Source organism: Homo sapiens, chromosome X (assembly GCF_000001405.40).
Source record: "Homo sapiens chromosome X, GRCh38.p14 Primary Assembly".
NCBI classification, from domain to species: Eukaryota; Metazoa; Chordata; class Mammalia; order Primates; family Hominidae; genus Homo; species Homo sapiens.
Window position 1 is genome coordinate 74,294,693 of NC_000023.11, and position 21,947 is coordinate 74,316,639.

Genomic DNA, 21,947 nt, shown 5'->3' on the forward strand with positions numbered 1-21,947 from the left:
TACTTTGGTGTCTGGTTCTTATTGCTTTCTAAAAGAGCCAGTTTGGAAATACCAAAAACTGAGACCCGCAAATTCATAAATCCTAAAACTCATAAACTTATACATCACCATCCTCTCAAATTAACTTAAGAATGTTATATCAACATTATTCAGAGAAAAATGGGTTTGCATTTGTTATATAATACGCCCAAAAAATTATACAACAATGTGCATATGAAGAAGAAAAAAGAGAAATAGGCATGCATTAAATAAAAAAGAAATGCCGAAATCTCAGTGGTACAAAGAACCTCTTCTAAATTAAAATAATCATTTATTATTACACAAAAGTTAAAATATAAGAAATTTTACCCCAAATTCTACAACACTATTTTAACAAATGCTCTTATCTCTGTTATTTTTCTGTTTTAATGGTTTTATTAATATATAATTTACATATCATACAGTTAACCAACTTAAAGTGTACAATGCAATGGATTTTAGTATATTCACAGAATTATGCAGCCACCACTACAATCAATTTTAGAATATTTTCATCACCCCAAAAAGAAACTTCATACCCATTAGTATTGTCTTAGTCCATTATGTACCACTGTAACAAAATACTGCAGACTCGGCAATTTATAAAGAACAGAAATTTATTTCCTCACAGTTCTGGAGAATGGGAAGTCCAAGACTGAGGAGCTGGCATCTGACAGTGGCTTTCCTGCTACATCATCCCATGGTGGAAGGGCAAAGAGATAGAGAAAGAGAGAGTGCGCGCAAGAGGGGGCCAGAACTCATCCTTTAATAAGGAACCCACTACTGAAATAACAAACCCACTCCCTCAATAATAGCATTAAGCTATTCATAAGAGTGGTGCCCCCATGACTCAAACACCTCCCTTTAAGCCTCACCTCCCAACACCACCACATGGGGCATCAAATTTCCAACATATGAACTTTGAGAGACATATTCAAACCATAGCAAGCATCTTTGTGTTCTCTTATGATTTTTGTTCAAATATATAATGTTTTGGCTGGGCGTGGTGGCTCATGCCTGTAATCCCAGCACTTTGGGAGGCCAATGCAGGAAGATTGCCTGAGACCACAAGTTCGAAACCAGCCTTGGCAACATAGCAATACCCTGTCTCTATTTAAAAAAAAAAAAAAAAAGAGGTGGGGGCCAAGCACAGTGGCTCGCACCTGTAATCCCAGTACTTTGGGAAGCCAAGGCAGGCAGATCAGTTAAGGTCAGGAGTTCAAGACCAGCCTGGCCAACATGGTGAAACCCCGTCTCTACTAAACATGCAAAAATTAGCTGGGCGTGGTGGCGGGCACCTGTAATCCCAGCTACTCGGGAGGCTGAGGCAGCTGACTCGCTTGAACCTGGGAGGCAGAGGTTATAGTAAGCCGAGATCATGCCACTGCCCTCCAGCCTGGGTGATAGAGTGAAACTCCATCTCAAAAAAAAAAAAAAAGGAAAGAAAGAAAAAGAAAAAATGTATATATAATGTTTTAACATTAACTTTTTTTTTTTTTTGAGACAGTCTTGCTCTGTGGCCCAGGCTGGAGTGCAATGGCACGATCTCGGCTCACTGCAATCTCTGCCTCCCAGGTTCAAGCGATTCTCCTGTCTTAGCCTCCTGAGTAGCTGGGATTACAGGCGCCCGCCACCACGCCCGGCTAATTTTTGTATTCTTAGTAGAGATGGGGTTTCACCATGTTCGTCAGGCTGGTCTCGAACTCCTGACCTCGTGATCCGCCCGCCTCGGCCTCCCAAAATGCTGGGATTACAGGTGGGAGCCCTTGCACCTGGCCTAACGTTAACATTTTTTATGACACTATATTTGTGTTTGAGGCTGTGTTTTTACCATGCACAGATGAATATTCATCAGCAAACAGATTTAGTTCTGTTTCTTCCAAGGAACTTCTACTTCTACCTTCATCTCAGGCAAGGAGCTTGGTCCTAGGCTCAGCCATATGGAAATCACTACACATTACCCCAAAGGTTCAATGCATAAGAGACTCAACTTTTCCCCCACCAACACTATTTACCAATGGCACAGACAAACATCAACATTTTATAGATACAATATTGTGATGTTTTCACTGCTTTTCCATGCCCCTAATTATTAATTATCTTCACTATTTTTAATAAATGGACAACATTGCATTTTTTGAAAGTATTATAAAATTGAAATCAGCACATAATTCTTACAGATTGAGTTACTTACTCTTTCCACGTCTCTTTATTTTGAAAAACTTCCATAATGTACCATGGCCCCTTAAGAAGAGAAATTCAGGAAAAAGGCACGGGCTGGGTGCGGTGGCTCACGCCTGTAATCCCAGCACTTTGGGAGGCCGAGACAGGCAGATCACGAGGTCAGGAGTTTGAGACCAGCCTGGCAACACAGTGAAACCTCATCTCTACTAAAAATACAAAAATTAGCCGGGTATGGTGGCAGGTGCCTGTAATCCCAGCTATGCGGGAAGCTGAGGCAGGAGAATTGCTTGAACTCAGGAGGCAGAGGTTGCAGTGAGCCAAGATCGAGCCACTGCACTCCAGCCTGGGTGACAGAGCAAGACTCCATCTTGAAGAAAAAAAGAAAAAGAGACACAGCTGGTAAATCTTGAACCCTGTAAAATACTTAGAGTCCTAGGCCTACCTATTTGTCTAAACTTCCCAGTTCACAAGCCGTTCCTAAGGAGTGGTAAGGAAGAAATTTGGGAACCTCTGTTGTATCCACTCATTTTAAGCTAACATCTGAGACTTTATTTTTCTCTTTTCCCCCATCCTATACATTTCTTAGGAGACTGGGCTTCTTCTAGAGGATGTGATGATTAATTTTATATGTCAACTTGGCTGGGCCACGATGCCCAGATATTTGGTGAAACATAATTCTAGATGTTTCTGTGAGGGGTGCTTTTGGATGAAATTAACATTTAAATTAATGGATTTCGAATAAAGCATTGCCCTCCATAATGTGGGTCGGCCTCATCAATCAGTTGAAGACTTGAATAGAACAAAAGACTGACCTATTCTGGGTAAGAAGGAATTCTGCCAACAGATGGCCTTTGAACTGCAACATTGGCTCTTCTCTAGGTTCCCAGTCTGATGGCCTTTGGGCTTGAACTACGGTATCAGCTCTTTCCTGGAGCTCCAGGCTGCCAGCCCACCTTGCAGATTTTGGACTTGCCAACCTCTATAGTCATGTGAACTAATTCTTTAAAATCTCTCTCTCTCTTTCTCTTTACGCACATGCATGCATGTGTGTGTGTGTGCACGCACACACATGCACACACACACACACACGGTGTTCTCTTTCTCTGAAGAACCATGACTAATACAGATTTCCTGAAACCTATGAATACTCTCAATTGAGGTTGTGGCACAGGAAGGAAAGGTAGTCAAGAAGACTCTCTCAGTCCCTTGAATTCAGCTTTACCTTGCCAAATTGTATGTTGACTAAATCTGACATGGGACTGGCCTTAACTTTCCAAAAGCTACCATTACAAAAATGTAAAACAACTTGGAAAACAAGAAGTACCTTTTGTCTTCCTAGAGTCCATTAATTTTTCATGATAGTACTAATCTCCTCTGGCACAAGAAGAACTGGTGTGTTCTTTGTGACTTTGAAAAAAAAGGTTACCTGGGCATGGTGGCTCATGCCTATAATCCCAGCACTCTGGGAGGCCAAGGCAGGAGGATCACTTGAGGCCAGGAGTTCAAGACCAGCGTAGCCAACATGGCAAAACCTTATCTCTACAAAAAATACAAAAAGTAGGCTGGGCGAGATGGTTCATGCCTCTAATCCCAGCACTTTGGGAGGTCCAGGCGGGCAGATCACCTAAGGTTAAGAGTTCAAGACCAGCCTGGCCAACATGGTGAAATCCCATCTCTACTAAAAATACAAAAAATTAGCTGGGCGTGGCGGTGCACATCTTTAATCCCAGCTACTCGGGATGCTGAGGCAGGAGAATCACTTGAACCCGGGAGGCGGAGGTTGCAGTGAGCCAAGATTGAGCCACTGCACTCCAGCCTGGGTGACAGAGCAAGACTCTGTCTAAAAAAAAAAAAAAAAAAAAGTAGCCAGGCACGGTGGCACATGCCTGTAGTCTCAGCTACTTGGGAGGCTGAGGTGGGAGGATCACTTGAGCCCGAGAGGTCAAGACTGCAGTGAACCCTGATTGCACCACTGCACTCCAGCCTGGGTGACACAGTGAGACCTTGTCTCAAAAAGCAAAGCAAAACAAAATGAAAAAGAAGGTAACGGGAAGTGAAGAAGCTGGCAAGATGGTACAATAACAAACTTAACAAAGGCCTTGATTTCATTGCTAAAGGTTAATTAGTTTGAATATGTGAATAAGATGGCTAAGAGACCAAGAAAGAGAATTGATCTTGTTACTAACTCCCTGATAAATTCTGCAGAAATTTACCTCTTACAACAAAATTCAGTTGGGAAAAAAAAAAGAGATATACTAGGGCTAAGAATATATCTACTCTTCTGTATAAACAATAAAAATATCTGGTTATAAAATAAACAGTGTTATTTAAGAGAACTGGTATGTTGTTAAGGAAGTTATTATAATTTTGGAGATGTTTGAATTAATCAGGGTTCAGTGCAAGGAGCAAAAAACCCTCCTGGATTTTAGATGAAGGAACTTAATATAAGAAATTGGATGCTTACAAGTTACTTGTAAGGAAAGGAAGAACACTTTCTAGGGAGAGTCTCAAGGAATGACTCCCAGAAGAATATAAAGCTGACCAACCAGAGTTATTAGGACCTTTGAGGCTACAACCAGATTCATGAATTCAGGAACTCAGAGAGCTGTGATCTGGGGAATTGAAAGACAAAAGGAAAAACAAAAAACAAACGAACAAAAAACACTGCTGCTGCTGCCACTATAACTGATTATTGGCATAGGAAGCTGGAGAATTAATGCTAAAATGCTATTACATTTGAGTGGTAAGTCTGCACAACTCACTTGCCAGCAAAAACAGGCAAAATGTGGCTTGAAGATGGCTTTCACTTCATATATGCTTTTCAAATGCTGAGAAGTTGATTCTAATTGATGTAACCTAGTTTACCTCCAGGCCCATAGCTGCAAGCGTGTGTGAAAAGTGAACACTTTGAATTTACAACTTCTTAAACATGAAGGGGAATTAAATAAAGGTTCAGTGGGCTAATCAAGAGTACCCAGCTCCATAGTAGATACGATATAGTAAAGGGAATATTCAACTGGGAGTTGGTAAACCTGGGATCTAGTCCTTCTTCACAGTCTTAATTTGATCTTGGGAAAGTTTCATCTTCTCTCAGGCCTAACAGAGTTAATCTAGTTATTATTGGGAATACAGATTTTAAACATGAGAGTGGTGTGATCATCTTTACATTTTAGAAGAAACACTTAGCCAAGAGGTGATGGTGTCCTGCTTAGTATAGTAGTGAGATGGAGAGAAATGTGACACCTCTGAGAAATATTTAACAAGTTAAAGCATTTTATGATAATAACAGGATCAATTCATCCAGAAACTATAATGATCATAAATATGTATGCACCTAAAAACAAAGTCCCAAAATACATGGGAAAAACTTTCAAAATTGAATAGACAAATGGGTAATTCAACAATAAGAGTTGGATACTTGAATAATTCACTCTCAATAATGGATACTACAAGTAGATGGAAAATCAGCAATGATTGACCTCTATAGAATGATCCAACCAATAGCAGCATAATAAACATTCTTCTCAAGCACTCATGAAACATTTTCCAGGACAGACTGCATGCTAGCCTCAACAAATGTAAAGTGATTGGAATTATATGTTCTGCAATGCCAACAGAATGAAATTACAAATAAATATGAGAAGAAAATTTTGAAAAGTCACATATATGTGGAAATTAAACATTATATTCCTAAATAACCAAAGGGTCAAAGAAGCAATCATAAAAATAATTAGAAAATACTTTGAGATAAATGAAAAAGAAAATATATCATACCAAAATTTATGGAATGCAGCTACAGCAATGCTTAGAGGGAAATTTACAGTTATAATCAGCTGCATTATAAACAAAGATCTCAAAGTAATAATCTCACCATCCACCTTAAGAAACTGAAAAAAGAAAAGCAAATTAAGCTTAAAGCAAGCAGAAAAAAGAAAGTAATAAAAATTAAAGTGAAAATAAATGAAATATAGAATAGAAATAATAGAGAATAACAAAAAAGTAAAAGTTCATTTTTCGAAAAACCCTTTAGCTAGACCAACCAAGAAAAAAGAGAGAAGACTCAAATTTCTAAAATCAGGAATGAAAGAGTGTTCATCATTACAAAAATAAAAGCAGTATAAAGGAATACTATGAACAACGCTATGCCAATAAATTAGAAAAAATGATGAAACAGCAAATTCCCAGAAAAATGCAAACTGCCAAAACTGACTCAAGAAGAACTATAAAATCTGAATAGACTTATAACAAGTAAAGAAACTGACTTAGTGATCTTTAAACTTCCCACAAGAAAAGCCCAGGCGAAGATGGCATCGTTAATGAAATGTTCCAAACATTTAAAGGAGAAATAATACCAATTCTTTGCAAACTATTCCAAAAAAAGAAGAGATGGGAAGACCTCCAAAATTATTCTATGAGGTCAGTATTACCTTGAAACAAAAAACAGACAAAAATGTCACAAGAAAAAAATCCCTATTGGTCAATATTCCTCATCAATATGGACATAAAAATCCTCAACAAAATACTAGCAAATCAAATCCAACAACATATAAAAAGGATTACTTTACATACCTTTACCAAGTGGAATTTATCTCAGAAATGTAAGGTTAGATGAACCTATGAAAAATAATCAATGTAATACACCATATTAACAGAATAGAGGAGAGAAAACTAACATGATCATCTCAGTGGACACACTTTGATAAAATTCAACACACTTTCATGATAAAAACACCTAGTAAACTAGGAATAGGAGGGAGCTTTCTCAATCTGGTAAAGGGCATCTACTAAAAGCCCACAGCTAACATGATACTTAGGTGGTAAGACTGAAAGCTTTCCTCTTTAGATCTTAAAGAAGACAATAATGTTTACTCTCACAATTGCTATTCAACAATGTACTACTGTTGGTTATAGCCAATGCAAAAGGCAAGGCAAACTCAAGGATACAGAAAAATCATTTGATAAATTCAATACCCCTTCATAATAAGAGCACTCAACACATTAGGGATAGAAGAGAGCTTCTTTAACCCAATAAAAAAGTATGTAGTTTTTTTTTTAATTAAAAAACCATGGTTAACATCATACTTAATGGTCAAAGACTGAGAGCTTTCCTCCTGAGATAAAGAACGAGACAGGAATGTCTGCTTTCACTATTTCTATTCAGCATTGTGCTGGAAGTTCTAGCTGGGGCAATTAGGCAAGAGCATGAAATAAAAGGCATCCAGATTAGAAAGGAAGAATATAAACTATCCTTACTTATAGATGACATAATCTTGTCTATAGAAAATCCTAAGGAATCCACTAAAAAACTACTGGAACTATTAAATCAGTTCAGCAAGGTTGCAAGATACAAGATCAACATACAGAAATAATTGTATTTCTATACAATAACAATAAACAATTGAAAAATGATAAGAAAATAATTCTATTTAAGATAACATCAAAAATGATGAAATACTTTAAAAATTTAACAAAAGATGTGCAAGACTTGTATACTGAAAACTACAAAATATCAGAGAATGAAAATAAAAGCCTAAATAAGTGAAACAATAACTTGTGCTCATGTATTTAATTATTCAATTTTTTTTTTTTTTTTTTTTTTGAGACAGAGTCTTTCTCTGTCACCCAGGCTGGAGTGCAGTGGCGCGATCTTGGCTCACTGCAACCTCCACCTCCCAAGTTCAAGCCATTCTCCTGCCTCAGTCTCTTGAGTAGCTGGGATTACAGGCATGCGCCACCATGCCTGGCCAATTTTTGTATTTTTAATAGTGGCAGGGTTTCACCATGTTGGTCAGGCTGGTCTTGAACTCCTGACCTCATGATCTGCCCACCTCGGCCTCCCAAAGTGCTGGGATTACAGGCGTGAGCCACCGCGCCCGGCCAGACTCAATATTTTTAAGATAACAATGGTCTCCAAAATGATCTACAGATTCCATAATCCATATCAAACACCCGTTTGCCTTTTTTTGCAGAAATTGACAAGCTGATCCTAAAATTCATATGAAAATGCAAGGAACTCAGAATAGTCACATCAAAAGAGCAAAGTTGGAGGCCTTACTCCTCCCAATTTCAAAGTATAATGCAAAGCTACAGTAATCAAGATTATGTGGTACTGGTATAAAGATAAACACACAGATATAGCTATTAAATAGTATTTAGGTAAATATATGAGAAACTAAAGAAATAAAGAATGACAATAACTAACTCCAGAGAACATAAAAACCATGCAGGTAATGAAGTGATCAGAGTACTCTCCAAATGGCTCAGGCATGAGTATCATTTACATACTTATAATTATAAAAACATTGAATATTGTCCCAACCAATATTAAGTGAAGGGAGGCATAGTTGGAATGAGGAGTTTGGACTGTGCAAGTGCATAGGGTGGGTGGTAAAAGAAGACTAAATGTTCATCCTCCAAAATGGAAAGACACAGATAATGTCTAAAATTGAAACATCAAAAAGTCATAGTAGCCAGCATATGATTGTGGTTCCAGCTACTCAGGAGGCTGATTGCTCAAGCCCAAGAGTTTGAGACCTGTCTGGGCAACATAGCAAGACTCCTCCTGTCTAAAATAAATAAATAAATAACTCGTAATATAAAGATATGTTTACACATATGCCTCTAAATAGTATGCTTCAAACTATGAGTTCCAATTATTTAGTGAATTAAGAAACCCAGGGGACAGAGCAAGATCATGGGATAGAAGTCGACACAATTTGTCCCCCTCACCTCCACTGGAACACCAAATTTTTTTTTTTTTTTTTTTTTTTTGAGACAGAGTTTCCCTCTGTCGCCCAGGTTGGAATGCAATGGCGCGATCTTGGCTCACTGCAACCTCTGCCTCCCTGGTTCAACTGCCTCAGCTGGGATTACAGGAGCCCGCCACCATGCCCGGCTAATTTTTGTATTTTTAGTAGAGACGGGGTTTCAACATGTTGGCCAGGATGGTCTCAATCTCTTGACCTCGTGATCCTCCCGCCTTGGCCTTCCCGAAGAGCTGGGATTACAGGCATGAGCCACCGCACCCGGCCGACTAAGTCTTAAATTATGAAAACTTCTACAAGTCTAATTTTCTAAATAGGAAAGGATTCAAACTCAATGATTCAAGTGTTGAAACAAACAAAAACGGAAAACAACACTACTCAGTTAACAGATTATTGTGCTTTTGGCTTCTTGAGTAGGAGGAAAGTCGGGCGGGAAGGGCGTCAGGAATGTCCGTGACACGTGAATGGGGCCGTGTGCAAACCTTGTATGACATCACTGAGACACCTAGCGGAAAACAGCTAATTCTTTCTAAGCCGCCCAAAGCGGGGTTGCGCCGGGGCCTCCGGGGCCGAGGTGGGCCTGCTCATTGGAAGATCGCATCGCAGCCATGAGCAGTAAGGATTTCTTCGCGTGTGGACACTCTGGCCATTGGGCTCGGGGATGCCCTAGAGGAGGAGCTGGAGGGCGAAGAGGTGGAGGCCATGGCAGAGGTTCTCAATGTGGTTCCACCACCCTATCTTACACCTGTTACTGCTGTGGTGAGTCCGGTCGTAATGCTAAGAACTGTGTCCTTCTCGGAAACATCTGCTACAACTGTGGGAGAAGCGGCCACATCGCCAAAGACTGTAAGGATCCTAAACGAGAGAGACGCCAACACTGTTATACCTGCGGCAGACTAGGACATCTGGCTCGTGACTGTGATCGTCAGAAAGAGCAGAAATGCTACTCTTGCGGCAAACTTGGGCACATTCAGAAAGACTGCGCCCAGGTCAAGTGTTACCGATGCGGCGAGATTGGCCACGTGGCCATCAATTGCAGCAAGGCGAGGCCAGGTCAACTGCTACCGCTGCGGCAAATCCCGACATCTAGCCAAGGAATGTCCCAGTGAGGTTACCACTTAAATCTTCCCCCCCACCCCCCACCCTTTTGCTGATTGATAATTGTATTATTTTCTCCGAAAACTTCACTCACCGAAAGGTCGATAGATTGAGGCTACTCTCAGGCAAGTGAGCTTTAATTACCATGTTAAAGGAGGAAAGAGCTAGAAAAAAAAACCTCAAAAAAGTTAATCATTGGTAGATGCCCCACAATTAACGTGTTGCTTCTGCCCCACGGGCAAATCTAGTTATTAAATAGTCATTCTGAGCACCAATCACTTAAGGGGTTCTTTTGTTGTATTTTGATTTAACACATTTAATTAAGAGGCACTATTGGAAGAGCTGGATCTAAATGGTGAACAAATTAGAACAAATTTAGAAACACAGGCCTAGAATCTATTAACAAGAAAAATAGTGTGTCAGATGAAGGTAAATTGCCATAGAGAGAAAGAACAGGAGGTAAAAGGATAAAAAGAGAATGTGTATGTGGGGGAAAGAGGGAAAGAATGTGGTTCTGTTTTAGATACACAAGGGCACCCTGAGGAGGTTATATTTCCTCAGAGATCCATAGGGCAAATAAAGCTGATTCTGAAAATCCATGACCTTGCCAAAGTAACTTAAATTTTATCATATTGATGGCTTTGAATTATCTGGCCTCATTAGGTTTTAAACAACATTGAACGAGACATCTCTGTCTGGCCCTGCATAGAGTGTGTAGTTTAATGAAAATAAACCAGAAACAAAATGTATAATGTATATGAGCTGCTTTGAGAGAGAGAGCAATCAGAAAAAAACAGAAACAAAAAATCTTAACAGGCCGGGCGCAGTGGCTTACACCTGTAATCCCAGCACTTTGGGAGGCCAGACCAGAAGGATCACTTGAGCCCAGGAGTTTGAGAGCAGCCTGGGCAACACAGTGAGCTTTTCTCTACAAAAAATACAAAATTAGCCGGGTGTGGTGGCGCATGCCTGTAGTCCCAGCTACTCTAGAGGCTTAGGCGGGATGATTGCTTGAGCGCGAGAGGTCAAGGCTGCAGTGAGCCATGATCAATCACACCATTGCACTACAGCCTGGGAGACAGAGTGATAGATACCTTGTCTTTAAAAACACAAAACAAAAAACCTTAACAGCAAATCATGGACATATAGATATTGATGGCAAAGTTTGGACGTATATATACATATATAGTTCGTTTGAGACGGAGTCTCACTCTGTTGCCCAGGATAGACTTCAGTGGCACGATCTCAGCTCACTGCAATCTCTACCTCCCAGGTTCAAGTGATTCTCCTGCCTCAGCCTCCTGAGTAGCTGGGATTACAGGTGCCTGCCACCACACTTAGCTAATTTTTCTATTTTTAGTAGAGATAGGGTTTTGCCATATTGGCCTGGTGTCCAACTCTTGGCCTCAAGTGATCTGCCTGCCTTGGCCTCCCAAAGTGCTGGGATTACAGGTGTGAGCCACTGCACCCAGCCTGGACTTACATATTTTTTAAATATATAAGTATATAAGAAAACAAGTATAAACATTAAGATTAAGCAGAGTTTGGGGATTCAGTAATTTGAAAAATACTCTTCACAGAAATGAAAATCATATTTATATTTAGGAGTTTCTGAAAATATATTTTCTTTTTTTTTTTTTTTTTTTGAGACAGTCTCGCTCTGTCGCCCAGAGTACAGTGGCGCAATCTTGGCTCACTGCAACCTCCGCCTCCCGGATTCAAGCAATTCTCCTGCCTCAGCCTCCTGGGTAGCTGAAATTACAGGCATGTACGACCATGCCCAGCTAATTTTTGTATTGTTAGTAGGGATGGGGTTTCGCCATGTTGGCCAGGCTGGTCTCGAACTCCTGATGTCAGGGGATCCGCCTGCCTCAGCCTCCCAAAGTGCTGGGATTACAGGCATGAGCCACCGTGCCCGGCTCAAAATGTATTTTCTCAGATATAAAAATATTGAGTTTCATATGCTGGAATCCATTTTTAAAATTCAGATTTGAAAAACAACCAAACTTTTATAAAATAGAAAAAGCACTTTTAAACTCTAAATAAAACTGAGGGTGGGAGAGGTAACTGTTGTGTCAAGAGAAAATTGAAGTTGTAATGGAAACTGGTTTATAAAATAATAATGTCAAACCTAGGATATGATACCGTTTATAGCAGAAAGTCTAGTACAGGGGTACAGTTTTTGACACATAAACTCAAAGGGTTAAAAAATGTAACTTATTTGTAACTGAAGCCACATTATTTATTTCTTTATTTTTGAGACAGAGTCTCACTCTGTCGCCCAGGCTGGAGTGCAATGGTGCAATCTGGGCTCACTGCAGCCTCAACCTCCTGGGCTCAAACAATTCTTCCGCCTCAACCTCCTGAGTAGCTGGGACTACAGGTGAGCACCACCACACTCAGCTAATTTTTGTATTTTTTTTGTAGAAGCAGGGTCTCACTATGTTGCTCAGGCTGCTTTTGAACTCCTGAGCTCAATTGATGCATCAGCCTGGGCTTCCCAGATTGCTGGGATTACAGGCATGAGCCACTGTGCCTGGCCATATTATTTTTTCAAATCTTTTTGTAGATTTGTTTGCTGTCTTTACATGTCCTTGTATAGTGTCTGTTTACATTTTTTTTTTTTTTTTTTTTTTTTTTTTTTTTTTGAGATGGAGTCTCGCTCTGTCGCCCAGGCTGGAGTGCAGTGGTGTGATCTCGGCTCGCTGCAAGCTCTGCCTCCCGGGTTCATGCCATTCTTCTGCCTCAGCCTCCCGAGTAGCTGGGACTACGGGTGTGCCCACCACCATGCCCGGCTAATTTTTGTATTTTTAGTAGAGACGGGGTTTCACCGTGTTAGCCAGGATGGTCTCGAACTCCTGACCTCGTGATCCGCCTGCCTCGGCCTCCCAAAGTGCTGGGATTACAGGTGTGAGCCACCGTGACCGGCCTTGTAACACATTTTCTTTGACCAGTCCACTGTTGAAGGGAAGTTAGGTTGATTCCATGACTTTGCTATTGTGAATAGTGCTGTGATAATCATGAGTGCAGGTGTCTTTTTCATAGAATGAGTACTTTTCCTTTGGGTAGATACCCAGTAGTGGGATTGCTGGGTTGAATGGTAGTTCTATTTTTAGTTCTTTGAGAAATCTCCATACTGTTTTCAATAGAGTTTGAACTAATTTACTTGCCCACCAACAGTGTATAAGAGTTCCCTTATCTCCACATCCTCACCAACATCAGTTATTTTTTAACTTTTTAATAATAGCCATTCTGACTAGTGTGAGATAGTATCTCATTGAAGCCACACTCTTTTATGAACACCGTAAGTGTAATCTTTCATTCCCAGCTAAAAGATCCCTTCCATTCGGCTGAGTTCCTTTCCACTTCTGTGACCCTCTTGGGCTCCTAGAGATTAATTCTGTCATTCTCTGTGACTCTCAGCCCCTAAGTGGGGCCATCTCAGTCCAATCTGCCAAGACACAACTTGAAACTCCTACATCACACTGAGCAAACAAAAATTATTGGGTCTCATCACTGTGCTGGACTCTATTTAGGAAAGGAGGAACACAGGATTCTGTGTTTGAATTCCTCCAAATCTGGAGTTTCATTTCCCATGCCCTCAGGAGTTTGGCCCACAGTTGGAGGAGGAAGAGTCTGTGTCCTTTTATTAAGGATACACTCAGCCTTTTAAGCCCTCTACATTTCCTGTCTCTAGGAAATCTTTTCTAGTCTCAGGGGAAGGAAAGCCTTATTTTGACTCATCAATATCTTTATGTCAGTAAACATGAAATGGTAGCCCTCTTACTGAATCAGGTTAACAAATGTGTTTAGTTTGACCCACAGATTGTTTAACAGTATTTGTGAATTACATGTCAACATTTAAAAATTGGAACATTTCTCATAAAAATGTTTATTTTTGGCTGAGCACAGTGGCTCACACCTGTAATCCCAGCACTTTGGGAGGCCGAGGCGGGTGGATCACCTGAGGTCAGGAGTTGGAGACCAGCCTGACCAACATGGAGAAACCCCGTCTCTACTAAAAATACAAAATCAGCCAGGCGTGGTGGCACATGCCTATAATCCCAGCTATTCAGGAGGCTGAGGCAGGAGAGTTGCTTGAACCCGGGAGGCGGAGGTTGCAGTGAGCCAAGATTACGCCATTGCACTCAAGCCTGGGCAACAAGTGCGAAACTCCATCTCAAAAAAAAAAACAACAACTTATTTTTAGTCTCTCTGGAGCAAAAGCAAGGATCAGGAAGCAAAAAACACACATTCCTGTGGAAGACTTTCAGGTGCACTACTCCCTGTAGTCTTGCAAAAGTCACAGCCAGTATTCTGTACTTGAGTCCATAACCCATGCTGTATGCCTTGGGACATGGGTAGACAACTATATAACATCCACCACACAAGTTTTAGGTAAAACTGCTTATATAAGCCCTGTATTAATAGATACAAACAGGAAAACACACCAATAGAGACTAAAAAAGCATTTTATAAAATTGAAGCGTCTTCCTGATTTACAAACAAAATATCTGTTAAAAAATAAGATAGGGCTAACAGGGTTTCTGCTTCCAAGAAGATAAAATACATGTACTATTCTTCTGGCTAAATGCAAACAAATACCTCTGAACATTGTATGTAAAATACACATAAGAAAACTGGGCTGGGCACGGTGGCTCACGCCTGTAATCCCAGCACTTTGGGAGGCTGAGGCGGGTGGATCACGAGGTCAGGAGTTCGAGACCAGTCTGACCAACATAGTGAAACCCCATCTCTACTAAAAATACAAAAAAAAAATTAGCCGGGCATGGTGGTGTGCGCCTGTAATCCCAGCTACTTGGGAGGTTGAGGCAGGATAATCGCGTGAACCCAGGAGGCAGAGGTTACAGTGAGCTGAGATCGCGCCACTGCACTCCAGTCTGGGCGACAGAACGAGACTCCGTCTGAAAAAAAAGAAAACTGAAAGGTGGTGGGAAGAAGTCAAACAGGCTAGGGACCTCTGAACCAAGGAACTACACAGTAGTGAGTTCCTTGGTTTTTTGTTTAACCTCATATATCCAGACTTGAAGCAGAAGAAGCCAGCAACCCAGAAACTTCAATAGGCACAGACATAAAAAGCCCCAAGAAAAGCTTGCTCTTATCAGCCAAAGGGCCAGAAAAGACACAGCCTAGAAAGATAGAAAACTTTTAGACAATAACTGCTCTCCTTCAGGCAAACATCGTGAAAAAAAAATTATGGTCTCGGCCGGGCACAGCAGCTCATGCCTGTAATCCCAGCACTTTGGGAGGCCGAGGTGGGTGGATCACGAGGTCAGGAGTTCAAGACCAGCCTGACCAACATGGTGAAACCCCGTATCTACTAAAATTACAAATATTAGCTGGGTGTGGTGGCACGCGCCTGTAATCCCAGCTACTCAGGAGCCTGAGACAGGAAAATTGCTTGAACCTGGGAGGCGGAGGTTGCAGTGAGCCGAGATGACGCCACTGCATTCCAGCTCTGGGCGACAGAGCAAGACTCCGTCTCAAAAAATATATATATATATTATGGTCTCACCACCAGCAAAGGCCTAGTGGGGAGCCCAGACTTATACCCTCATGAATATTCAAAAATCAATAAATGTAAGCCACCAAGTTAATATGCTGAAGAGGAAAATCACATAGTTGTATGAATTGATGCAGCAAAAGCTGTTGACAAAATCCAACTTTCATTCATGATAAAAACTCAGAAAAATAGAATAAAAAGGAACTTCCTCTATGCAATAAATAACATCTACAAAAAACCTGCAGTTAACATTATACCTAATGGTGAAAGACAGAATGCCTTTCACTGGAGATTAGAAAAAAGGCAAGGATGGCTGGGCATGGTGGCTCATGCCTGTAATCCTAGCACTTTGGCAGGCCAAGGCGGGTGGATCACCTGAGGTCGGGAATTCAAGACCAGCCTGACCAACATGGAGAAACCTCGTCTCTACTAAAAATACAAAATTAGCCGGGCATGGTGGTGCATGCCTGTAATCCCAGCTACTCAGGAGGCTGAGGCAGGAGAATCGCTTGAACCCCAGATGCAGAGGTTGCAGTGAGCTGAGATTGCGCCATTGCACTCCAGTCTAGGTGACAGAGCAAGACTCTGTCTCAAAAAAACAAAAAGAAAGAAAAAAGAAAAAAAAAAAAAAGGCAAGGATGTAGGATTTTACACTCACAGTGTTTTTCAACATAGTGACGGAAGTTCAAGTTAGTGTAATAAGGCAGTAACAGAAAATAAAAGGCATACGTATCAGAGGGGAAAGACCAAAACTGTTCCTATTTGCAGATGACATGATTGTCTACAGAGAAAATCCCAAGTAATTACTGGGAAAAAACACACACAAAAAAACCTCCTGGAACTGATAATTATAGCAGGGTTGCAAGAAACAAGGAAAACATACAAAAATCAATTGTATTTCTATATATTAGTAATGAATACATGGATGCTAAAACTAAAATATGATATCAGTTAATAGTCACTCAAAAATGAAATAACTAAGTGTAAATTAATGAAACATGTACAGTAACTGTATGCTGAAAAGTAAAAAATACTGATGAAGGAAATCAAAGATCTAAATACATGGAGAATCATATGTTCATGGATTGGCTCAACAAATAAAATATATCTATTCTCCTCAAATTGATATACAGGTTTGATGGAATTTCCGTTACAATCCCAGCAAGATTTTTTGTAGATATAGATTATTCTAAAATTGATAGAGAAAGAATAGCTGAAGCAATTTTGAAAAACAAGGATAAAATGGGAAGAATCAGTCTACTTTATTTTAAAATATATAGTTTAATAAACAAGATAGAATGATATAGGTAGAGATATAGGCATGTAGATCAATGTTACAGAATAAAAAAAGAAGTAAACACATACAAATATGCCCAACTGAGTGGTGACCATTATGCTTCTGGAATCATACTCCAAGGGCATGACTCTCTCATTCATGCACAAAAAAGGAAAAAGGCTGAGTACTTGGGAAATCCAAGGGTAGAAGGTGAAAGCAGAGAGCCTTTAAGGACCTTAAAAGCATCATTGGATAGGGAATCCCAGACTACTGGGTCTGGGGAGACTCCCTAGTCATAGAATAGAGGAATGAGGCAATCATGGAGAAATTAGGTGTCCACACTCTACCATTTCCTCTTGGTTGTCATTTTGTTTCAGGGAAAGTAAAATGTTAAATAGTAGAGGCTCAGAGACAGTTTTGCTCATGGCTGAGAAATCATGACCCAGGTATAACACACACAATGATCATCATTGAGTTTTAGCTCTAGCCACCTTATGGCCCTTTCTAAGGCCTTAAGATGGTATTCAGTGTCCAAAAGGGAGTTGTCATAAATGTCAGAACATAGGAGGAGGTCATCTACATATTGGACTAAAGTGGTGTCTCCTAGGAATTTTAAGTCCCTCAACTGGACATTTAATGTATGCAAGAAAGAGGTAGGGGTCTCGGTAAATTTTGGGGGCATAATGGTCTAGGTATATTGTGGGTTTTCGCAGGTGAAGGCAAGCATGTATTGAGATTTCTTATGAAGGGGATTACTGCAAAAAGGCAAAACATAAATTGATGTCGATGAAATATTGGGTGTTAGAAAGGGTAGCAAACAGGATAGTGTTAGGATCAGGCACCAAAAGAAATCTGTGTTTGACAATTTTATTGATAGAGCTCAGATCTTAAACTAACCAATATCATTTCCTTTTTTTTTTTTTTTTCTTTTTAGAAACAGGGTCTCGCTGTATTTCCCAGGCTGGAGTATGATGGCTATTCACAGGCATGATCATAGTGCACTGCAGCCTCAAACTCCTGGGCTCATTCAATCCTTTTGCTTTAGTGTCCCAAGTAACTGGGACTACAGATGTGCACCTGGCTCCATTTTGTTTTTTAGTGGCCAAGATGGTTGTATTGCATGGATTAGAAGTTGTGACAAGAAGTTTTTTTATCAAATAAACTTTGGATTATTGAGCAGGGTCACTCTTGTTCTTCTTGTTTTAAATGATATTTGGGAATCTTGGGGAGGAGCACAGAAGAATTTATTTCTACCTTAGGGAGCTCTGCATCCCATATGCACCCAATCTCGGTGGAGTTTTTTTGCCCCTAATGCAGGAATTCTGTCTAATACTTTATTTAAATCTTCAGTTAAATAAGTTCTAGGTTGAAGGGGGCAAAGTAACTCAGATCAGAAAAAAAGTTAGGAGACATAATCATGAAGGAGAGGAGTCAGGGACCTGTAGAAGTCCTTCAGGGGTACAATAAATTTTAAAACCCCAATTTATAAGAAGATCCTTTCCTAAGAGTTTTACTGGGGTAATAGAATGAGAAGGAAGTTGTGTTGAGTTTTGATGGGTCTCATAGAAATGTTAAAAGGTTGAGAAAGCAGCAAATTGTGAGGCAAATTATCAAAACCCACCACTGGTAGTTGGGTGAGTCCAAGGAAGGAGGGCAAAAAATGAAGTGGTGCTAAAGGTATAAGGCATTGCCTTGGTATCAGTGAAAACTTTGGTGGTGCCCTTCAACTTGTAGGGTAATTTTCCCTTGTGAATTTAATGGCAGTTGAGAGCATTGGAGGACAGTCAACAATTTTCTGATGAGGTAACCAGAAGGCCCCCTAAGGAGGGGGGCTCCAGTTTTTATCCTTCCTCTTGAGGTCCAGGAAAACCTGGACACCATGCCCTTCTTCCTTACAATTTTGGTGGGTGTCCCAGTGAATGGGAACCTGTGATTTTGGAGTTTGCCATAGATTAAATTTTTCAGGTTTTTCTAACTATTTTAATGTCAATGCCATAAGCTTGTATTCTGCATTTTCCAATTTTTAAAAAATACTCTTTTCATAATGCTGGGCTAATGTCTGGAGTTCAGACATGTTTGGATTTTGTCAGCTAATATAAGTTTTCTGGAAAATGTCATGGAATTCCAGTCTGAGACTATTTTCAAAGTTTGTGGCCAGAGCAGAGGCTGTTTGGCAAGCCAATTTCAGGCCCAAACGCTCTTTTCATGTTGTCTCGATGGCAACAATTGAGGGTGATAATTAGCTACGGTTTCATCCTTTTGTTGTTTACAATTTTGAATATATGACAAATCTAGTCTCTGTGATAGATCTGAGGGATGGATCCTCTCCTAATAATTTTTCTTTTACTTCTTTCATTTTCTGATGAGAATTGGGGGTAGTCTGAGATCCTTGAAAGTCTTCTGGAATGGTGGTCCATTTGGCTTTTTTAAACTAAAGGACCAACCAATAGGTGGATAACTTGATATAAATTGGGGAACCCAGAGAGTATACCCCTAGGACAGTTCTAAATTGTTCAACACACCTTTACCTTTTCTTTTGGGGGTCAGGAAAGTCTTTGTTGATGGCATGTAATTCAGACCAATACCTAGGTTTAAATGTTATCTCTTCTGTTGGACTCACTTGGGATCAGGTACCAGCCATACACTTGGCTTCATCTGCAGGAGGTGGAGGCCTTGTGAACCATACAGCTATAAGATTGATCGGCTGGGGGTGCAACTGGTAGAGGACATTCTGGGAGAGAAGGATACAAAGGTGAGCTGAGAGGGGAATATGGGGATGCTGTTAAGGACTCTAGGGGCTTACTGGACCAGAAAAACTTTTCTGAAGTCATTAAGAGCTTGAATAGTTTGAGTGAGGTATGAATTATTTGGCCATTTTTCAACTTCTTCATACCAGGTGAAACAAGTGGACAATTGTGTTCTTTTTTTTTTTTTTTTTTTTGAGACGGAGTTTCACTCTTGTTGCCCAGGCTGGAGTGCAATGGCGCAATCTCGACTCATGGCAACCTCTGCCTCCCAGGTTCAAGAGATTCTCTAGCCTCAGCCTCCCAAGTAGCTAGGATTACCGGCATGTGCCACCACACCTGGCTAATTTTGTATTTTTAGTAGAGACGGGTTTTCTCTATGTTGGTCAGGCTGGTCTCAAACTCCCGACCTCAGGTGATCCATCCGCCTCGACCTCCCAAAGTGCTGGGATTATAGGCGTGAGCCACCGCGCCCGGCCGACAATTGTGTTTTCAAGATTTTTGTTCCTTTTTGTTCTAGGGCTCTTCTTAGATAAACAAACTTGGGGATATTCCAGGAGCTCCAGAGGGGCCATGTAGGTCAAGAGAGTTTTAGTAAAGTTTTCCCAGTAAGAAAGTAAACAATGCTATAGTGGCAAAGCATGTGGTCAGCAGGAGTTTCAGAGGAGGGGATTTCAGCCGGGCACAGTGGCTCACACCTGTAATCCCAGCACTTTGGGAGGCCAAGGTGGGCTCCAGACCACTTAAGCCCAGGAGTTGGGGACCAGCCTGTGCAACATGGTCATACCCTGTCTCTACAAAAAATACAAAAATTACCTGGGTGTGGTGGCATGCGCCTGTAGTCCCAGCTACTCCAGAGGCTGAGGCGGGAGGATCACTTCAGCCCAGGAGGCAGAGGTTACAGTGAGCTATGATCATGCCGCGGCACTCCAGCCTGGGCCATAGAGCGAGATCCTGTCTCAAAAAAAAAAAAGGGATGGGGGAGGGGATTTCAGTTGATTAAGAAGTGCTCATGTCCTTGACTAATGGTACCCCTACATTTATGAACAGAGAAAACTGGGATTCTAATCCAGCCTGTTTCTTAGAGACACTAAACTCTTACAGAGAACCCCAGGACTCTAACCCAGTGTCTATTTACCTGGAACTCTAATCCAGCTTCTAGAGTATATGCAGAATCTTAAGAATCAAAATCTAGCCCAACATGCTTAAACTGACATTTATCCAAAGCACTAGATTTTGGAGTTGGTCTAAAAACAAGATGCCCAAATGAGCAAGCTGACTGGAGACAAAGTAGTAGTGCTTGCTGGGAGACCTGCTTGTCGTGTCCAAGAGTCTGACAGTGTGGTTTCCATTTAGGTCCCAGTCACAGCACCAAAAAAACTGTCAAAACAGAACCAGAGCCAGACACTAGTTAAGCCAGTGTGCTCTGAGAGACCAAAATAAACTCCTCTTTTTCAACTAAGACAGACCCTAAGGTTAAGGAAAAAAAGTTACCTATGGGTCCAGGGTTCAGGGCCTGGCTGGCATGGCAAATTTCCAAATTCCTACAAGAAAAAGCACACTCTTACTTAACAACAGAAATTATCAGGAAAATTATGATAACTGTAATTAACAACTCAGACCACTATAACTCTGACTGGACAGAGGACCAGCCTTAAAAACATTCTTTTCTGACGAGCTGTTGAAGACTTTTTGCCAGTTTCAGCCACTTTATAGAGGATGGGCACAAACTGTCTTGTGTCCTGTAATTTAAATTTTGACATAAAAAGCCAAATTCTACCTCATTTTAATGCCGAAACCTCATCCCAAAGTGAACATGGGATGTATGTTACATACATGTTTAGCCAACCTGCATGTGCTTGGCTCCCCTCATAAATAGTATAGCTTTCCCCCCAAAACCTACTGAATATGTGAGATACCAGCCCTGTGAGGTATACGACCCAATCCGTCCTTCCCTTCTTTGAAGAGAGAGTGCCTTTGGTCTCTCTCTGTGCTAGAGACTTTCTCTTCCCAGCTTGCAGACCAGTATTACTAATAAAGCTCTCCTTTCTACTATTTAGCCATCCTGGTGGCTTTTTGGATGACATCAGTAAAAAAAGATTTTATTCAGAAACTATTGCAAGAGATGGTGGGGAGTGGTGGCTCACAACTGTAATCCCAGCACTTTGGGAGGCTAAGGTGGGCAGATCAGTTGAGGCCCAGGGGTCGAGACCAGCCAGGCCAACATGGCAAAACTCCATCTCTACTAAAAGTACAAAAATTAGCCAGGTGTGGTGGCACATGCTTGTAATCCCAGCTACTCAGGTGGCTGAGGTATGATAATTGCTTGAACCTGAAAG

At 40.9% G+C, this 21,947-nt stretch overlaps 1 protein-coding gene across 1 annotated transcript; it reads left to right on the forward strand.

Moving 5' to 3' along the window:
- ZCCHC13 (zinc finger CCHC-type containing 13) lies at positions 9,488-10,342 on the forward strand. Its single transcript, NM_203303.3, has one exon. It carries the CDS (start codon positions 9,575-9,577, stop codon positions 10,073-10,075), a length of 501 nt encoding a protein of 166 aa, NP_976048.1. The 5' UTR covers positions 9,488-9,574; the 3' UTR covers positions 10,076-10,342.